This window comes from Homo sapiens, chromosome 8 (assembly GCF_000001405.40).
Source record: "Homo sapiens chromosome 8, GRCh38.p14 Primary Assembly".
Lineage (NCBI taxonomy): Eukaryota > Metazoa > Chordata > Mammalia > Primates > Hominidae > Homo > Homo sapiens.
In genome coordinates this window covers 18,545,704-18,562,258 of record NC_000008.11, presented here as the reverse complement: position 1 = coordinate 18,562,258, position 16,555 = coordinate 18,545,704, and the positions used below count along the sequence as shown (strand labels likewise).

Sequence of the window (16,555 nt, the reverse complement as noted above, 5' to 3'; positions counted from 1 at the left end):
TCCACCTTAGAACATCTAGGATTCTGTATCCCACAGCTTGGAGGAAAAGACTGGTGGCAGCCACTGTGGCTGTTCCCTCTTCTTATTCCCAGCACCCAGCACAGTGCCTGCTGTATGGGCGCTCGGTGAGGTTCGCGGATGGATAAATGTGTTCTCTGTTTCCCGATTCTCTCTGCCTTCTCTCTCATTCTTCCTCCTTTCCCTCTTGGAGCCATCTGCATTTCTATTTTATTGTTTCCTTTAAGTTTTCACAGCTTCTCTCTCATCCTTCTCTCCATGATAAGTACTATGTAAATCTTATACTTGGTATAAAAAGATAAAAAGCTAATTTCTGGCCCTTGGTCCTGGGCTTTGCACCGGGGGAGAAGGACTGTAACTCCAAGTCAGCCCTTGACTCACACTGCAAGATCTTCAACAGCCAAGTTGCCTGTTCCCATTGCCTGATCAGTTAAGCAATACTGTCTTCATAGAGATGACATTAGAGCTTAATATTTTAAAGGAAATTCTGAAATTGTTCTCAAAACCTAAGTACTATATAAATAGGAAAAAAATTAAATATTTTTTTAACAATTTTAATTGACCATATAATAATTATATGTATTTCCAGGTATAATTGTGATGTTTTGCTATATCAATTTTTTATGGTTAGAACACTTAAATTCTATTCTTTGAGCAAGTTTGAAATACACAGTGCATTATTATGAACTCTAGCCATCATGATACACAACAGAATTTATTCCTCTTGTCTGATATTTTTCATCCTTTGACCAGCATGTCCCCAGTCCCTTGCCCCCAGCCTCTGGTAACCACCATTCTCCTTATTTCTATGAGTTCAATTGTTTTAGATTCCATATATGAGATCATCCAATATCTGTCTTTCTGTGCCGGTCTTACTTCAGTTAGCAAAATGTCCTCCAGGTTTGTCCATGTTGTCGCAAATGACAGAATTTCCTCTTTTTTAAGGGTGAATAAATAATACTCCATTGTGTATATATACCACATTTTCCTTATCCATTTTTCAAAGGACACTTAGATCTCTTCTAGATCTTAGCTATTGTGAATAATGCTGCAGCCAAGAGCTGTTCCCTCTTCTTGAAGAAGATACGGCATGGTCTCACCATGAGAATGCCACATCTTTTTGAGATACTGATTTCATTTCTTTGGCTACATACTCAGAAGTGGGATTGCTAGATTATTTGGTAATTCCATTTTTAGTTTTTTGAGGAGCCTTCTTACAGTTTTCCAGATTTTCCTGACAGCATTTGTGAGGATAAATGTTGTATCCTCACATGACAGAAGACGGGGGCAAAAAAGGGTCTAACCTATATCACTCCAGCACTTCTATAAGACACTTACCGCTTCATGAGGGACTCAATCACTTTCCAAAAGGCACCATCTCTTAATACTACACAATGAGGATTAAGTTTCGATATGAAGTTTGAAGGGGATACAATGAAACCATAGCAAAGTCCTTTGCCCATTTTTTAATTGCTTTGTTTTCTTGCTATTGTATTGTTTTGAGTTCCTTATATACTTTGGGGATTAACCCCTAATATAAGTAAATGAAATCCTAAGTGACTTCGAAAACTTGCCTTTTAGATAAAATGTTGTTGTATATATTATGAAAGGTCTTACTGATTTAAATCTATTGACATATAACCACAACAACTTTTCTTGTATCTAGTATTTTCAATTTCATTTTTTAAAAATTATCACTTCCTAACTTAAAACAATTTTATGAGTTTGTGGTATTTTCTATCTCCATGCCTTTTCTTTGTCAAATGTAATATTTTTCTGCCATCTCTGAAATCTATTTTGCTAGTATTGTCTTCTAAAAACAGTATGTATGCATCCCTAAAGAACTGTAAAAGCAAAGACAAAAGGTGGGGGAATAAAAAAGCAAATTCCTACTTTGTCTTTCTTCATCGTGTCTATTACAAATGTAGTTGTCCTGAGTCTGAGAATGTGACATCTCCATGGCTGCAGCCTCTCTCCCGTTGTTTTTTACCATTGTTTTTTGTTGTTGTTGCTGTTGTTGTTTTTTTGTTTGTGTGTGTGTGTGTGTGTGTGTGTGTGTGTGTGTAAAATGTGTATCTTTCTTATCATGGGATTCTAGCACTGGAATAATTTGCATGGTCAAGCTGTGTCCGTAAGAGCCACTTGGCATTTCTATTTCACTGTTCAAAATGGACAGATTTAAGGAGATGTGATTTTAAAATGCTTTATTTTGAGCTTACTTTATTGACTCCTGCCTTATGAAGCCAGTGAAATAGTAGTGAAGCATTTCTCATTGAACATCAGCACTTCCTCGGTTAGTTCCTTTGTAAAAATATAGCCTAAATGACTAGCCCTTTATGCTGCTGTAGAAACAGATTTACGTACCATAGCTTGGTAACAGTGAACAAACCCGAGCAAGCCCTGGTATTGGGAGGAAAGTGAAAAACATAAGATGTTGCACATATTGTCATTCTAGCCTGTATTCCTCATTAAAATAAGTAGAAATTGGGATTTGTTCAACAGAAAAAGAGACATTTGAATATTCAAGATTGGAAAGCCTAAATCTAAAGCTTTTAGAAGAAGCAAACATCTGAAAGCATATTTGCATAGATCCAAAGTAAAAAAAAATAGAAGTTTGTAAATTCTTTTACCAAATTACCTAAAATCCTATTTTTTCTTAAATAAACTGGATTCTATCATTGGATTCTAATTATTGGATTCTAATTATTTCCTAACCACAAATAGAAAGAGTTTGATTTCTTAACATATATATTATAAATAACTATACTGATACAAATCTATTTTTTAAAAGGCAAACAACCCAATAGAAAAATGGGTCCAGTAATCCACAGAAGAGGAAACCCAGTAAACCTATGAACAAAATCTCATCCTCATTCATATTCAGGGAAATATAAATTCAAATCACAGTGGCTTATCATTTCTTACCTATGAAATTAGCAACAATTTACAAGTATAATAACATCACATTTTGACAAGAATGTAAAACAAAGAGAACTTTCAGACCTGCTGTGGAAATGTAAACAGATAAAAACACTTTAGAAAACAGTCATCTTAAAGATGCGCATATTCTAAAACCCAGAAATGCCAACACTTTGTGACACACTATAGAAAAACTCTTGCTCAGATTCCCTAGGAGACATGTGTAAGAATGTCTGTTGCAACATCATTTATAACAGGGAAAAAAAATCCCACAACAGGAAACCTGAAAACAAGCTAAATATCCTTAAACAAAATTGTAATGTGTCCTGCAGTGGGGTACTATGCAATGTTTAAAAGACAGGAACTAGAGCATACATGTAGATAAATCTTAAAAACATGTTGAGTGAAAAAAAAATTACAAAAGAAAGCCTTTAATTAGTTTTTATATCAAGTATAAAACCTAGAGAATACACTTCTGGTTTTGTTTTGTTTTGTTTTTTTGAGATGGAGTCTTGCTCTGTCACCCAGACTGGAGTGCAGTGGCGCAACCTCGACTCACTGCAGCCTCCATCTCCCAGGTTCAAGTGATTCTCCTGCCTCAGCCTCCTGAGTCACTGGGATTACAGGCACGTGCTACCACGCCTGGCTAATTTTTGTATTTTTAGTAGAGACAGGGTTTCACCATGTTAGTCAGGCTGGTCTCAAACTCCTGACCTTGTGATCCACCTGCCTCAGCCTCCCAAAGTGCTGGGATTACAGGCGTGAGGCACCCCACACCCGGCTACACTTCTGTATTTTTATGGTTACATATCTTTATATATGAATAACACTGAAAAGGAATGAGATGAGCACGTACATGTGTAGGGAGTTTCCATTTATTTATATTTTATTTCTTAAATTCCTATGTTAGATTCATGGGTGTTTTTCATATATCATTCAATATGACTTTTTATATATTTAAAACTTTTTTTAGAAAAGAAGGAAAATACATCATGCTTTTATTTTTTGAAGTGGTCCAGTCACTAAATATCATTTGTCAAGAAGTCTATTAGGTAATTTACATATTGCAATAAATACACAAAGGAAAACAACTTTGAAAGAAATAAAAACTATTGATATAGTTTGTCTTAGCTCAGGCTGCCATAACAAAACACTATAGATTGGGTGGCTTCCATAGCAGACATCTATTTTCTCACAGTTCTGGAGATGGGAAATCCAAGATCAAGGTGCCAGCAGAGTTGGTGTCTGGTGAGGGCTCTCCCCTAGGGCTGTGGATGGCCACCATGGCCTTCCATTGGTGCTTGCACACAGTGTCTCCTCTTATAAGGGCACTAATCCTATTGGATATATGCCCCACTCTTATGACCTCATTTAACCATTATTACTTCTTTAGGGACCCCATTTTCGAGTATAGCTACACTGAAGGTTAATTTTGAGTGGACACATTCAATCCATAACATAGTTGATAGTCTCCTTGCCTGAAAGTAATAGATGAGTAAGAACTTGTAAATAAAAGCTACCTGAAGCATTTTTGACTTTCAGCATTATCAGTATACAAATAATAGGTTTGGAGATGTAGACGCCTTTCTAAAATCTCAAAATAGGTTTCTTTTCTCCTTCGTCCTTTTCTGGGACTTCTTGGAGTGTTTCATTTTGTTTTGTTATAGTTGGCATTTAGAAATGAATCTTGTCATTTTTAGATCACTCCACGTGTTCATGCTACCTTTCTTGTTCATTTTTCCATTCGTGTCCTCTGCTTTTTACTTGTCATTGTTTTCTTCTGTTTTGATGGTTTTTGACTTGGATTTTGTTTTTGTTGTTTGGCTTTTAAGATGTACATTATTACAAAAGTCCGTAAGATATTATATGTGACGCTCATAATTTCTGGACACGTTTTCTTCTAATTTACAACAATATTATATATTTGTAATTTACTGTCCATAGTTATTCATTTTCTGTTTATGTAAAAAATTATTCCCCTCATTCTACAAGATTTTTGTGTTCTACAATTATGTTGGTGTTATATAAAATACATTTATCACCTAATTTAGTCAGATCTGTTTCATTTGCCTTTACCCATTTATCTTATTGTACCTGTGAAATTTGGATAATTTGCATGTGAAACTAGAACAGTAAGGAGTCATACATTTTCAAGAATGCAAGAGAATTCCAAGAATGTTTTTAAAATGCTGGCAGAAGGTTCAGTAACATATCTTTTTGGGTAGCCTATTGCTAAGGTGATATAAATGGTACCCTTAGAATGGAAATCCTTTGATGTAGGATCAACCATATTGCATTGGTACACGGTACCTATAATAATGCTACTAAGGCAATAATTGCTAAATAGGTAGATACATTTTAATTGACGGGTTGCTTTGGGCCAATCAAGTTGAAGGAACTAAGAACTCTGCTGCTTTGGTAAGAGAAAAGCGAGATAGCTGCATGTTTTAGAATATCATCTGGTAAGCTTCAGAGAAGAAATTTTTCTTCGTAGCTCTGCTTCTTTCAAAAAGGAAAAAAAATATGCACATAGACAATTACAATTCATTCATTGTGATGGATGGAAAAGCTGGCAGCATTGCTGAGTGGGCATGAAATGGGAAAGCCAAGGTGTGCAGCTTCCATGCTAGCTGCTTAACTGTTCAGCTGGTGACATGCCTGTCAGGGCATCTCTTAAGGCCTGGTCCCAACTCAGGGGCATTTACACCTGATAAAGAGCTCGGAAGCCATTTGGTTTTATGACAAGGGACCTAGTTAAAGAGGTTGGCCTTGATTGCCATCCCGGGAAGGAATATATGAAATATGTGGACAGGGGCGTGAGAAAGCTGGAAGGATGTGGCAGCAGAGGCACATTGGGCTGTTTTAGTGAATTAAAGTCATTCAGCACAGGGGATTTTTTAAAGTATGCTGTGCTTTGTTATTGACTTGTTTTTTTTTTGAACGCTAAATGGCATCATGATTTCCTGCAGGAGGAGCAACTGAAGTCACATGAAAGTAAGCTGAAGCAGATCACCACCGAGCTGGCCGAGCACCGCTCATATCCCCCCGACAAGAAGGTCAAAGCCAAGGACGTCGATGAGTACAAACTGAAAGACCACTATCTGGAGTTTGAGGTGTGTTGCACCCAAATGTTAGTAAATGCTGATTTCTGAGTTTTCTTATGATCTGTCCATGAGGCGGTATCTTTCTTTGCAGTGTCACTGAGAGAGGCGTGTCTTGCCCCTGGCTCTAATTTGGGAGCTCCTGGCAAGGTCATGGTGGCCCCTCTTGTTTGTGATTCTGTTTAAGTGCCAAGCAAACATCAAAGAGTAACCTGCCAGTTTATACACTTAAAAGTAAATAGCCTGCCTGGTTGGAATAGTGTGCGCCCGCTGTGAGGGGAAGAAAAAGAACAGTAGAGGGACACACCAGGGTGGACAGCTGCTTTCTGTATCCCTGTGTCTCTTCCGGCAGAATTGGAGTCAAAAAAAGCACAAGGGAGGAAATGAGCCACATAGTTGATGTGAGGCATCAGCTTTTCCCTGCACATTCTTGCTGTTCGGCAACACTATGCGTTTTTCTTCTTGTCACCCACTGCCCTTCAGAAGGGGGTTGATAAATTAAGTTGTGGCACATCCATCTATACAGTGAGTGTGCTTATTAAAAAGAATGGTGAGGATCCATATGCTATGGCATGGAAAAGTGTAAAATTTAAACCCAAGTTGAAAACAGTATATTTCCAAATATTTCCATGGCTCAGTTTTCTTCCAAATTAATGTCAGGGTTAGAGTCCCTTAGCCTCTGCCTTCAGACATTTAAAGTGTCTTTTTATTTTTAAAGTAGGTAGCATGCAATACAAAATAAAAAGAATTAATTATCGACTAATTTGACCTGTTGTTTTTTGTTTTTGTTTTTTTTTCTGGTGGGTGTGCTGAATCTGCCTTTAGCTGTTCTTTTTCATTGTAGCTCTGGCCCCTTTTACTTCTCATTGTTCCTCTCCTTTGTTTTCATCTTATCTGATTTCCTCCTCAGGCTTGAAATTTAAAATCTTCTAAGTGTCCACATCCTAGCGATCAGTGTCTGTGGCGTCTCACACCTGTCCCTTCCTTGTATTGCTTTATAACTACTTCCTCTGCTGAGCCCTGGCTTTCTCCTCTCACTCCGCTCTCCTTCCGTTCATCCTAAATCCTTTGGCCGGTTGTTTTTCTGAGGTTCAACCCAGATGACGGCATTCCTCTGCTTGACAGCTGCCTACAGCTTCCCCGATTCCCCTCCCCCAGTTACCTCCTGAAGAAAGTCTCATTTCTTTCACTGGAGAGGATTTGGCGTCTCCACGTTTCCACAACGTCCGTCTTTCCCACACTGGCCTCCCTACGGTAGTCACATTTCTGCCTACTCTCCCCAAACACACGTTTATACCTTTGTTCACTTACTTTCCTCTGCCTAAGATGCTCTTCCCATCATCTTCATTTCTGACAGTCCTGTTCGTCTTTTGAGGTACAGCCCAAATTCCTCCTATGAAAAACCTGATCCAGATATACTAGCTGGGATTCATCTGTTTCAGTACTTGGCACAATTTTTTTAAGCTGAAGTTATTTTCATCTGTCTTTGTTACCTGTAGCGGATTCCGTAATACCTCCCCCTACCCAAAACTATGAGCCTAAGTTCATTTCCAGGCCTTGCTATGTGTGCTTGCTGAATTGGATACAATTTCATAGAAGCCTTAAAAAGTCTCTGAGTTATAATATTTCTGTTATCAAATGTAGCATTTGATTAAAAAAATGACACTTCCACTACAGTTCCATGTACTAGTTTTCTTCATGGTCAAGCAAATCCTTGCTCTGGGCGGAGAACTCTACTAAGAGAACTATTTATTTTGGTAAAGGTAAACGTTTCTTAGCAAAAACCGTAGAAGCCTTACCAGCAAAATGCTTGAAAAAATAAAATAAAAAATAAAAATAAACCAACAACAAAAAACTAGGCAGCTCATCTTTCCCCAGGCTTGTTCATTCTTGGGAAATGGGAGTTCTCAAAAAGCAATCATTATTCTTCACACTTCTGAAGTGGCTTTAAGCCATAGGCCTGTTTTGTTTCACACAAGCTAATTAAATTTCCCAGCACCTCAGTCCCTGCTTCCAGCACTCAGCACCTCGCTGGAGCCCTTGATGCCGAAGGTGGAAGAGCCTGTCCCCAGGAGGTGGGGGGTGGCTGCAAGGCCATGGAAAGCTTGCCATTGCTAGGAGCCCTCCCTACTTTTGAGTCGACAGCGCTACCTCTTTTCTGAAAATGTAACCCACCAAGAGCCAGCATTTTCAATCCCTGACATGAAGTTAGACCAAGTTTTGCAGGGATTAAGTCTTGCTTTCATCAAATCGTCACCTCAGCGAGCTTGCAGACTGCGTTCCAGGACTCATTAAAATCAGACCCATATGCTAATATGTCAAGCAGGTTGACTTGTCTGTCAAGCTCCTTCACCTGTGTCTATCAGAAAGGCGCGAGGATAGCTGACTTGGTACAGCTAATATTTATGTCATGAAAGAGGGAAAATTTCAGCTGTCATCTAAAAGGGGTTTTGTATAAGTAGTGCTTTTTAAGAAGTGAACAATTGTTTTTCAGTAATTTAAATTAACATTGAAGTCATATATCATATTGAGTCCACTTTGCTATTGTTGCAGCCACCGGAATTTTTCTCTCGTGAGTGCTTGCAGAGAGTCTTTGCACAGCATCCTTTGCTTCATAAGCAGCATTCCCTGAGCAGGCCGCTTCATAGCAGATATAAGAGTTATTGACCATTTTTCCCAGTTTCTGGAACACTGACTAATTGACGCACGTTTGTTGACAACATGCGTGAAATTTTATTATTGTATATAAAAGATAACATCAGAGGAAGTAATTCTCTGAGAAACCTTAGTATTCATTGTTTTAACAGGACCAGAAGCTCCCATGAAAACAAACCTGGTGACTGTTCTCACCCAGGTGAGAGCAGACAGCAGTGTCTGCAGTTCAGTGGGAGCCCACAGATGGGCAGTGACAGGAAGAGGAGCTTTAATCACCAGGGAAGATCATAGGCATGAATGGGTGCTCTCACCTCCTCTTATGGTGGGTCCTCCTCAACAGGGCCTCCCTTGGTTTCAAAGCAATTCTTACCATTTTCACAAGTCCTTGGTAAGGAAAAATACTTTTATTTTGGCAGAATATTAAGCTGTTAGTAATAACACCAGGAGTGTTACTAATTGTATGCATTCCAGTTGTTTAAATCCCAGGTTGCTTTGAGTACAAACAGTGCTTCATGGTGAGCCAAATTTACCTCTCTTTCTATGCCTTAGAAACTGTCCAAACTCTGACTGACAGTAAATAATCAGAAATTCTGGTAAATACAGGGTTTAAAAAAAAATTTACAGAGAGCAAGGAAACTTCCATCTTAGCCTGTTAGAAAAGAGGTTCACTTTTACTTAAAGCAGCAAACTTTACTCAGAATGGGCTCTCTTCATTGACTTAACTCTAAGCGAAGGGATGTTACTGAATTGGTAACCTCCAAGCTGTGGTTTGGAATCTAATCTTACTTCTAAAAGAGGCTTTAAGCATGACAAGTCTACATTGAGAAACTCACCATCATTTCCCAATTTCAAGAAATAAATATCAGAAATAGCCACATTTCCTTATAAATTAACTTTTTTCTATTTTATTCAGTTCCCATTTTACTTAAAAATATTTAATTGATCCCTGTGCTTCTAGTATATTGGGAAACAGATCAAGTTCTGGGGCAGATCGATGTTTTGTGTCAATGTAAAAGTTTACAAGGCTCCAAACAAAGCACAGTTGGTTGAGCTGTTCTGGAAAACACCTGGGCCCCTTAAGACACAGCACCATTAGAGAAATTCCCTTGACAGCAATGCAGTTGGCCCTAATGTTTTGGTTTTATGTTTCTTCAGCTTTAAAAACAACAGCAACTGGAAGGAGATGACGCTTTTTATTTCAAGATATTTTTCCTGCAACATTTAAGATGTTACAGATGCAACGTTTAAGATGATTACAGATGTTAACATACTCCTTAAATTAAGCTGGACCTGAGTAGGGAGAGGGAAAAGATACACCAGCCCAAGCCTATTAAATCCATGACTGGGCTACAAGAGATTTACTACAGGGGAATTGCTGAAGGTCAGGTTAATAGCTGGCTTTCAGGTCATTGTAAAGCCTGTTAGAAAACCAGCCGACGCAATGCCAATGAATTGTATGTTGCCAGCCCACCTAATGTCAACGTGTTTTCTTTGGCCAACATAATACTGTATTTGTTTTCATTGTAATTTAAATGCGTTTAGGAAAGACAGGTCTTGTCCTTCTCACCATTGCCTGTTATTAATATATCACATCTGATAACTTTCTACAGTAAGTGTCATTGCTCTGGTCCCTGAAGGCTTTTGAGTTTGCAAACCCTGTACTAGAGGCTGCAGCCAGTTTTATATGTATTAAGTATTAGTTAGATCTTTGAACATGGGCTTGGAATTAATAGTCCCTTCATGCTTGGAAGGAAGATACTTCTCGGTATATGTGTTTTCAGGTTCCAATCCAGCAGGAAAAAAGAGAATGTCCACTTCCCTCATGACTGAAACCAAAGACTTAGAATAAAGGTCACTTGACTTAATGGGCTTGAATTCAGCTGAATACCCACTCCTGAATTGCGACCCAGAGTAGCATATGCTTATGGCTTAAGGCAGTTAGAGCCCACACCAACCACATGGCTAGGAAATTCAATTTTAGAAACAACAAATGTCCACTATAACAAAACTTATAAATTTCTTGGGACAGAATATTTTCTTAAAAATCTAGGACATTCTTGAAGCATGATGCACCTTTTTCTGAATTTCTAATTCTTGGTGACATTTAAAACAGCATGATTCCTTCCAAAATTGATATATGTGCAAAAAAAGAATACATTCTATTCAAAGTCATTAGGGAAGCCCATAACCATTCATATCTGGAAGCACAGATAATATAAATTTCAGATAGTAAACCTTTCATTTTACTGTTGAGTATCTTGTTGCATAGTCAGTAGCGTTGGGTAGTTTGATATATTTCCTTTGGAGAACACTTTCTGGTTGTGATCCTAGCCTTATTCCTCAGATGGTTTATTTTTATTTGTCAACATTGGGGAAGCAATTTTCATAGTAGGGGCCATTATCTAGGTCACTTTTGCTTTCACAGGAGCAGTGCAGAGGCATATCTCAATACAGTGCCAACTGTCACAAGGCAAACCCACCCTCTGAAACAAAATTTTCTAGCAATTAAGCTGCAAGTGGTCTGGATCATAAAAGTGCAAAGATAGCCATTATTTCCCTTGGTCTTCCTAGCGAAAGCAAGGGAGAAATTCTGTTAAACTAGTTAAAGAAGATTAGTAGCAAAAGTCTCAATCTTAGTAAGTCAGTCTAGCGTGGAATCAAATGCTATCTCCTTTACAGAAGACATGACAGAGGTGATTATACATCTGGATCTGGAACTGAGATAGTGTAGGTTAATAGAATTATTGAGGAAATTGAAGACTTTTCTTTTTTTCGTGGGATACTAAGTACAGATGGTTCCCGACTTAAGATGGTTTGACTTACAATTTTTCAACTTGATGATAGTGCAAAAGTGGTATGCTTTCAGTACAGTTTTTAGTATATTACGTGAGGTATTCAATATTTTATTATAAAACAGGCTTTGGGGTTAGATAATTTTGCCCACCTAAGTTAATATTAAATGTTCTGAGCACATTTAAGGTAGGCTGGGCTAAGTTAATGATGTTCAGTAGGTTAGGTGGTGTAAATATATTTTTGACTTACGATATTTTCAACTTAGAATGGGTTTATCTGGGATATAACCCTATTGCAAGTCAAAGAGATTCTGTATTACAATTATGAGTCAAAAGCTAGAGATGTAAGATCAACAGTTTATACCCTGAGTCCAGTTAATAATACAGACATGATCCTTGCCTTGTCATTTGGAATTGCATTTTGTATTACATAATGAAAGAGGACTAAGAGCTCTGAATTTTAATCTTTAAATGATAACAGCTGCTTTTGAAGAGAAGCGGAGCCTAGCAACAGGATTCTTTGAGCCACATTTTTAGTAGATGATTGCAAAGAATTAGGGCCATTCCTGAGAAGGAAGAATAAGCAGCCAATCATGTGATTTGAAATGACTCCCTGTCCTTAAATCCCTCCTTCATCAATCATTTACTGAAATGCCTGCTCTGATAAGGGTCACTCTATTGGGTAAAGGTATTATCTTCAGGAAAAGGACAAGAAAGCTGAGAGACAAAAATCATAAAATTAGAAAAAGGACTAGATTGGGAATCCATTTTAGTCTTGTAATTGGTGTATTTGGCATGACCTTATCCTTTCTGAACCTCAGTTTCCTCGTCATAGAAATGAGATGGGATTGGGTGAATTAGCTGATAAGATCCCTTCCAACTCTGTATTTTTAGGAGAATGACACATTAACAGCAATTTGTTTTAGATTATGTCACCTTCACAAAGATTTCTATGAGTGTTAAACATAAAACAAAAATATTTCAGTTCAGGAATGTCAGGTGATATAGATCAGTGCCTTCCATTAGAAATAAATGTAAACCACCTAGGTGTGAATTTAAATTTTCTAGCAGCTACATTTAAAAATTGAAAGAAACAGGTAAATAGGGTGACATCAGCAAGATGGCAGAATGGGAGCTTTCTGTTGTCGTCTCCCTGCAGAAGCATTGATTTAGACGTATACCACAGACAAGAGTACATTTGTGGGAATCCATGAGTCCAGTGGAGAAGTTTTAGCACACCATTAGATTATAAAATCTGAGAATAGGGCCAGGCGTGGTGGCTCATGCCTGGTAATCCCAGCACTTTGGGAGGCCGAGGTGAGTGGATCACCTGAGGTCGGGAGTTCAAGACCAGCCTGGCCAACATGGTGAAACCCGTCTCAATTAAAAATACAAAGAAACCCCATCTCTGTTAAAAATACAAAATTAGCCAGGTGTTGTGGCACATGCCTGTAATCCCAGCTACTTGGGAGGCTGAGGCAGGAGAATCACTTGAACCCGGGAGGCAGAGGTTGCAGTGAGCCGAGATCATGCCATTGCACTCTAGCCTGGGCAATAAGAGTGAAACTCTGTCTCAAAAAAAAAAAAAAAAAAAAACTGAGAATAGACAGAATAATGAGTATAAGAAGAACAGTTTCACTTTATCTATGTCACCCCTACCTCAAGGCAGAAAGGTCACTGCCAAGAGAGCCCCCTGCAACCATGACCTGTGATTTCTTCCACTGGGGAAAGTGGGAGTGTAATGAGTGAGTGTCTGGCTCCCTGAGACGTGTAGGATGCTGCCTAAGAGGCTAAACTGTTTGACATCCCACTCAGAATATTAAGGCAACCAGCACAGCTGAGTGGTTGAGAAAGATTGAAAGCAGGGAAGAGAGGCCATGGAGGCTTCTAACTACTCTGTAGACCTCCATCAGAAAGTTCTCCCCAAGCTGCATGGGATGCCTCACCTACAGATCCTTTCCCCCAGGTGGTCCACAGGCACTCCAAATGCTCCATGCACCTCACACTCCCATCCCCACCCCAAGCCAGCTCCCAATGCATGCACTGCAGATAGCAAGTGCAAACTACCTGTCATACAGTCACTGAGCTCAATTCGGTGGGATTCAGAGAGGGCACACAAATTTGAGCATTAGAGGACACTGGCCAAGGGCACGCAAATGGGAGGCTCTCAGCACTCAGCCTTGCAGGATCAAGAGAACACGTACAGTGTAAGAATTACCCACTAATTGAAATGAGAAGTATAGAGTAGATATGTCCATAGAAAAGGTCTGAGAGAGCCTCAAAATCCCTAGCTTGGCTGTTTGGAGAAAGTATTCCTCACCCAAAGACAGTAAAGACTGAAGATAACTGCTTCTTCTAATGCAAAAACAGCAGTGCAAGACGTTAAGTAACACAATCCTGTAAAAATCAAAAAATAATAATAATAATATTCTAGTAACCAATTTCAAAGAAATGGACATCTATGAGTTGCCTGAAAAAGAATTCAGAATAATTATTTTAAGAAAACTCAGTAGGCCACAGAATACAAAGATAAGAATACAAGAGTTCATTGATTCCTCAATGAAATCAGGGAAACAATACAAGAACAAAAGTTCAATTAAGAGAAATTATTTAACAACCCAAACAAATTCTGGAGCTGAAGCATATACTGAATGACATTTTAAAAATGCAATAGAAAGTGTCAACAGCAGACTTTCTTATGCAGAAGAAAGAAGCTGAGAACTTGAAAACATGTCAGTTAAAAATACCTAATCAGATGGGGGAAAAAAGGAAAAAGAATGAAAAGGAAGGGAGAAAGAAATCTACAGGATTCATGGAACACCATCAACAGAGCCAATTGCTGCATCATAGACTGTAATAAGGGCAAGAGAGGGAACATGGCAGAAAGCTTATTTAAAGAATACTTATTTAAAGACTGAATACTTCCCAAATCTAGAGAAAGATATGAATATCCAGGTACATGAATCTCAAAGACCTCCAATCAGGTTCCACCCAAAGAGGAATTCACCAAGACATATTATAATCAAACTGTCAAAAATTAAACATAGAGAATCTTGAAAGCAGGAAAGAAAGGGAGTTGAGAAGTGATGTCTGCAAGATGGCTTACACATACCTGCCACTTATGCCCCTCACAAAAAACAACTGAAACTCAATTAGAGTGTCAGAGGGAAAGCATTAAAGTGTAGCAAGAGAGTAGTGAGATTCCCTGTAGTGTTCAGAAGCCCAGGAAGGCAGCATAGTGAGGGTGATGGGGCACCCTGCCTCTGCCAGCTCATGTTCCCTGCTGAGATTAGCTTGGAGTCAAGAGGGACTACCCCCTTGAGGGGAAAAGGTAAGCAAAAGATCCCCACCAGCTTCCATTGCCACTGAAGAGACCTGCAGTTCTTACTACAAGAGTATACCACAGCCGCAGCAAGCCCTGAGCCTAGTTTGGGGAGCTGCCTGTAGTTCACACAGCTACATTGCTTCAGATTAGGAGCACAAGTTGTGCATCCCTCACTTTACCCTCTTTATGTAAGCTACCATGATATGGCACCACCTTGAAACCAGATCCACTGCTAGAGTGTGTCCTGCTCTGAGGGTTGGTAGCCTCTGTGTGCCACCAATCTTGGGTCTCCACCGTCATTCCACCAGGCTTACATGGGTGGGTGCCCAGTGCTAGGGCCCAGGAACAACTGTGGACTCAGATCCTGCACACGAGACAAATTAATCCCAGGCTGGCTGAATTAATGCAAGCTCCTGCCCCTGTCTAGAGAAACAGCCCAGATGACCCACCAAAGGCATACCTGCTCTTGAGCCAGCAGAACCACCATGTTCTCTCACCTCCAGCTGGAGGTACAAGCCAGCAAATATGTCCCTGGCATTCTTATCCCCGAACCATGGAGCAGTTATAGCCTGTGCAACTTATATGTGGAATCTAAAAAACTCAAACACAAAGAAGCAGAGGGTAGAATGGTGGTCATCAGGGGTTGAGGTGGGGGTTGGAGGGAAATAAGTAGATGTTGATCAAAAGGTACAAATGTACAGTCATAAGATGCATAAGTTCTGGAGACCTAATGTACAACATGGTGATTGTATTTAATAATAATGTATTATGTACTTCAAATTTCCTGAGGATAATAGATCTTAAATATTCTCAACATAATGAATAAATAGATGAAACAGGTGAAATTAATTGTAGTGAGATTTTAAAATTTTTACATTATATGTCCAAAATATTTTACATTCTTTTTTCCATATTAAATCATCAAAACCTAGTGTTTGTTTTACACCTGCAGCATAGCTCAATCCAGTCTAGCCCCATTTGGCATGTCTCATAGTCACACATAACTTATGGCTCACTGACTCCTTGGGTTGGAAGGCGCTTTACCAAGACAAGCTCAAAATTGGACATGGACTGGTAAGATGACTACTTATGATACTTCCCATTTAAAGGATCACTTAAACTGGAAATTCAGAAAGTTTAAAATTACTTCAAGGCTGGGCACGGTGGCTCACGCCTGTAATCCCAGCACTTTGGGAGGCTGAGACAGGTGGGTCATCTCAGGTCAAGAGTTCGAGACCAGCATGGCGAACATGGCAAAATACCTTCTCTACTAAAAATACAAAATATTAGGCGGGCATGGTGGCGGGCACCTGTAATCCCATCTACTTGCTGAGGCAGGAGAATTGCGTGAACCTGGGAGGTGGAGGTTGCAGTGAGCCAAGATCGCACCATTGCACTATAGCCTGGGCGACAGAGTGAGACTCCATCTCAAAAATAAATGAATAAATAGACTACTTCAGGTCCAAAAGGAATAAATAAATGTAGGTGATGAAATGTCTTAGGAGATCACTGGGGAAGGTAGTTTAGATCATAGTTCCTTCAGCTGCTCCTCAAATCACACTTTAAGGATTTCCTGGAAGAACTGACCCTGTCCCATTAAGACTGGCATTAGCCCTTTTGGAGCTGTGAGTGTGACACACAAGCTGACATGGAGAACTCTGGGAATGTGCTTCTGAGGGATACCCGGTATGACTTCGGGGAATTCCAGTACAATCAGAAGGAAAAGCAAAGTGTAAACCAAAAGA

The 16,555-nt window shown here is 39.2% G+C and overlaps 1 protein-coding gene across 23 annotated transcripts in view; it reads left to right on the top strand.

The window, feature by feature from the left end:
- PSD3 (pleckstrin and Sec7 domain containing 3) overlaps nucleotides 1–16,555 on the top strand; it is a 557,503-nt gene that overhangs the window by 522,547 nt on the left and 18,401 nt on the right. For 21 of the 23 annotated variants that reach the window (NM_001412865.1, NM_001412866.1, NM_001412872.1 and 18 more), the window contains one exon: nucleotides 5,907–6,050. In NM_001412865.1, coding sequence (NP_001399794.1) covers nucleotides 5,907–6,050 — 144 coding nt within the window. Of the gene's footprint in view, nucleotides 1–5,906; nucleotides 6,802–16,555 lie in introns of those variants that run through there. The other 2 variants (NM_001412870.1, NM_001412880.1) reach the window with 2 other exon arrangements.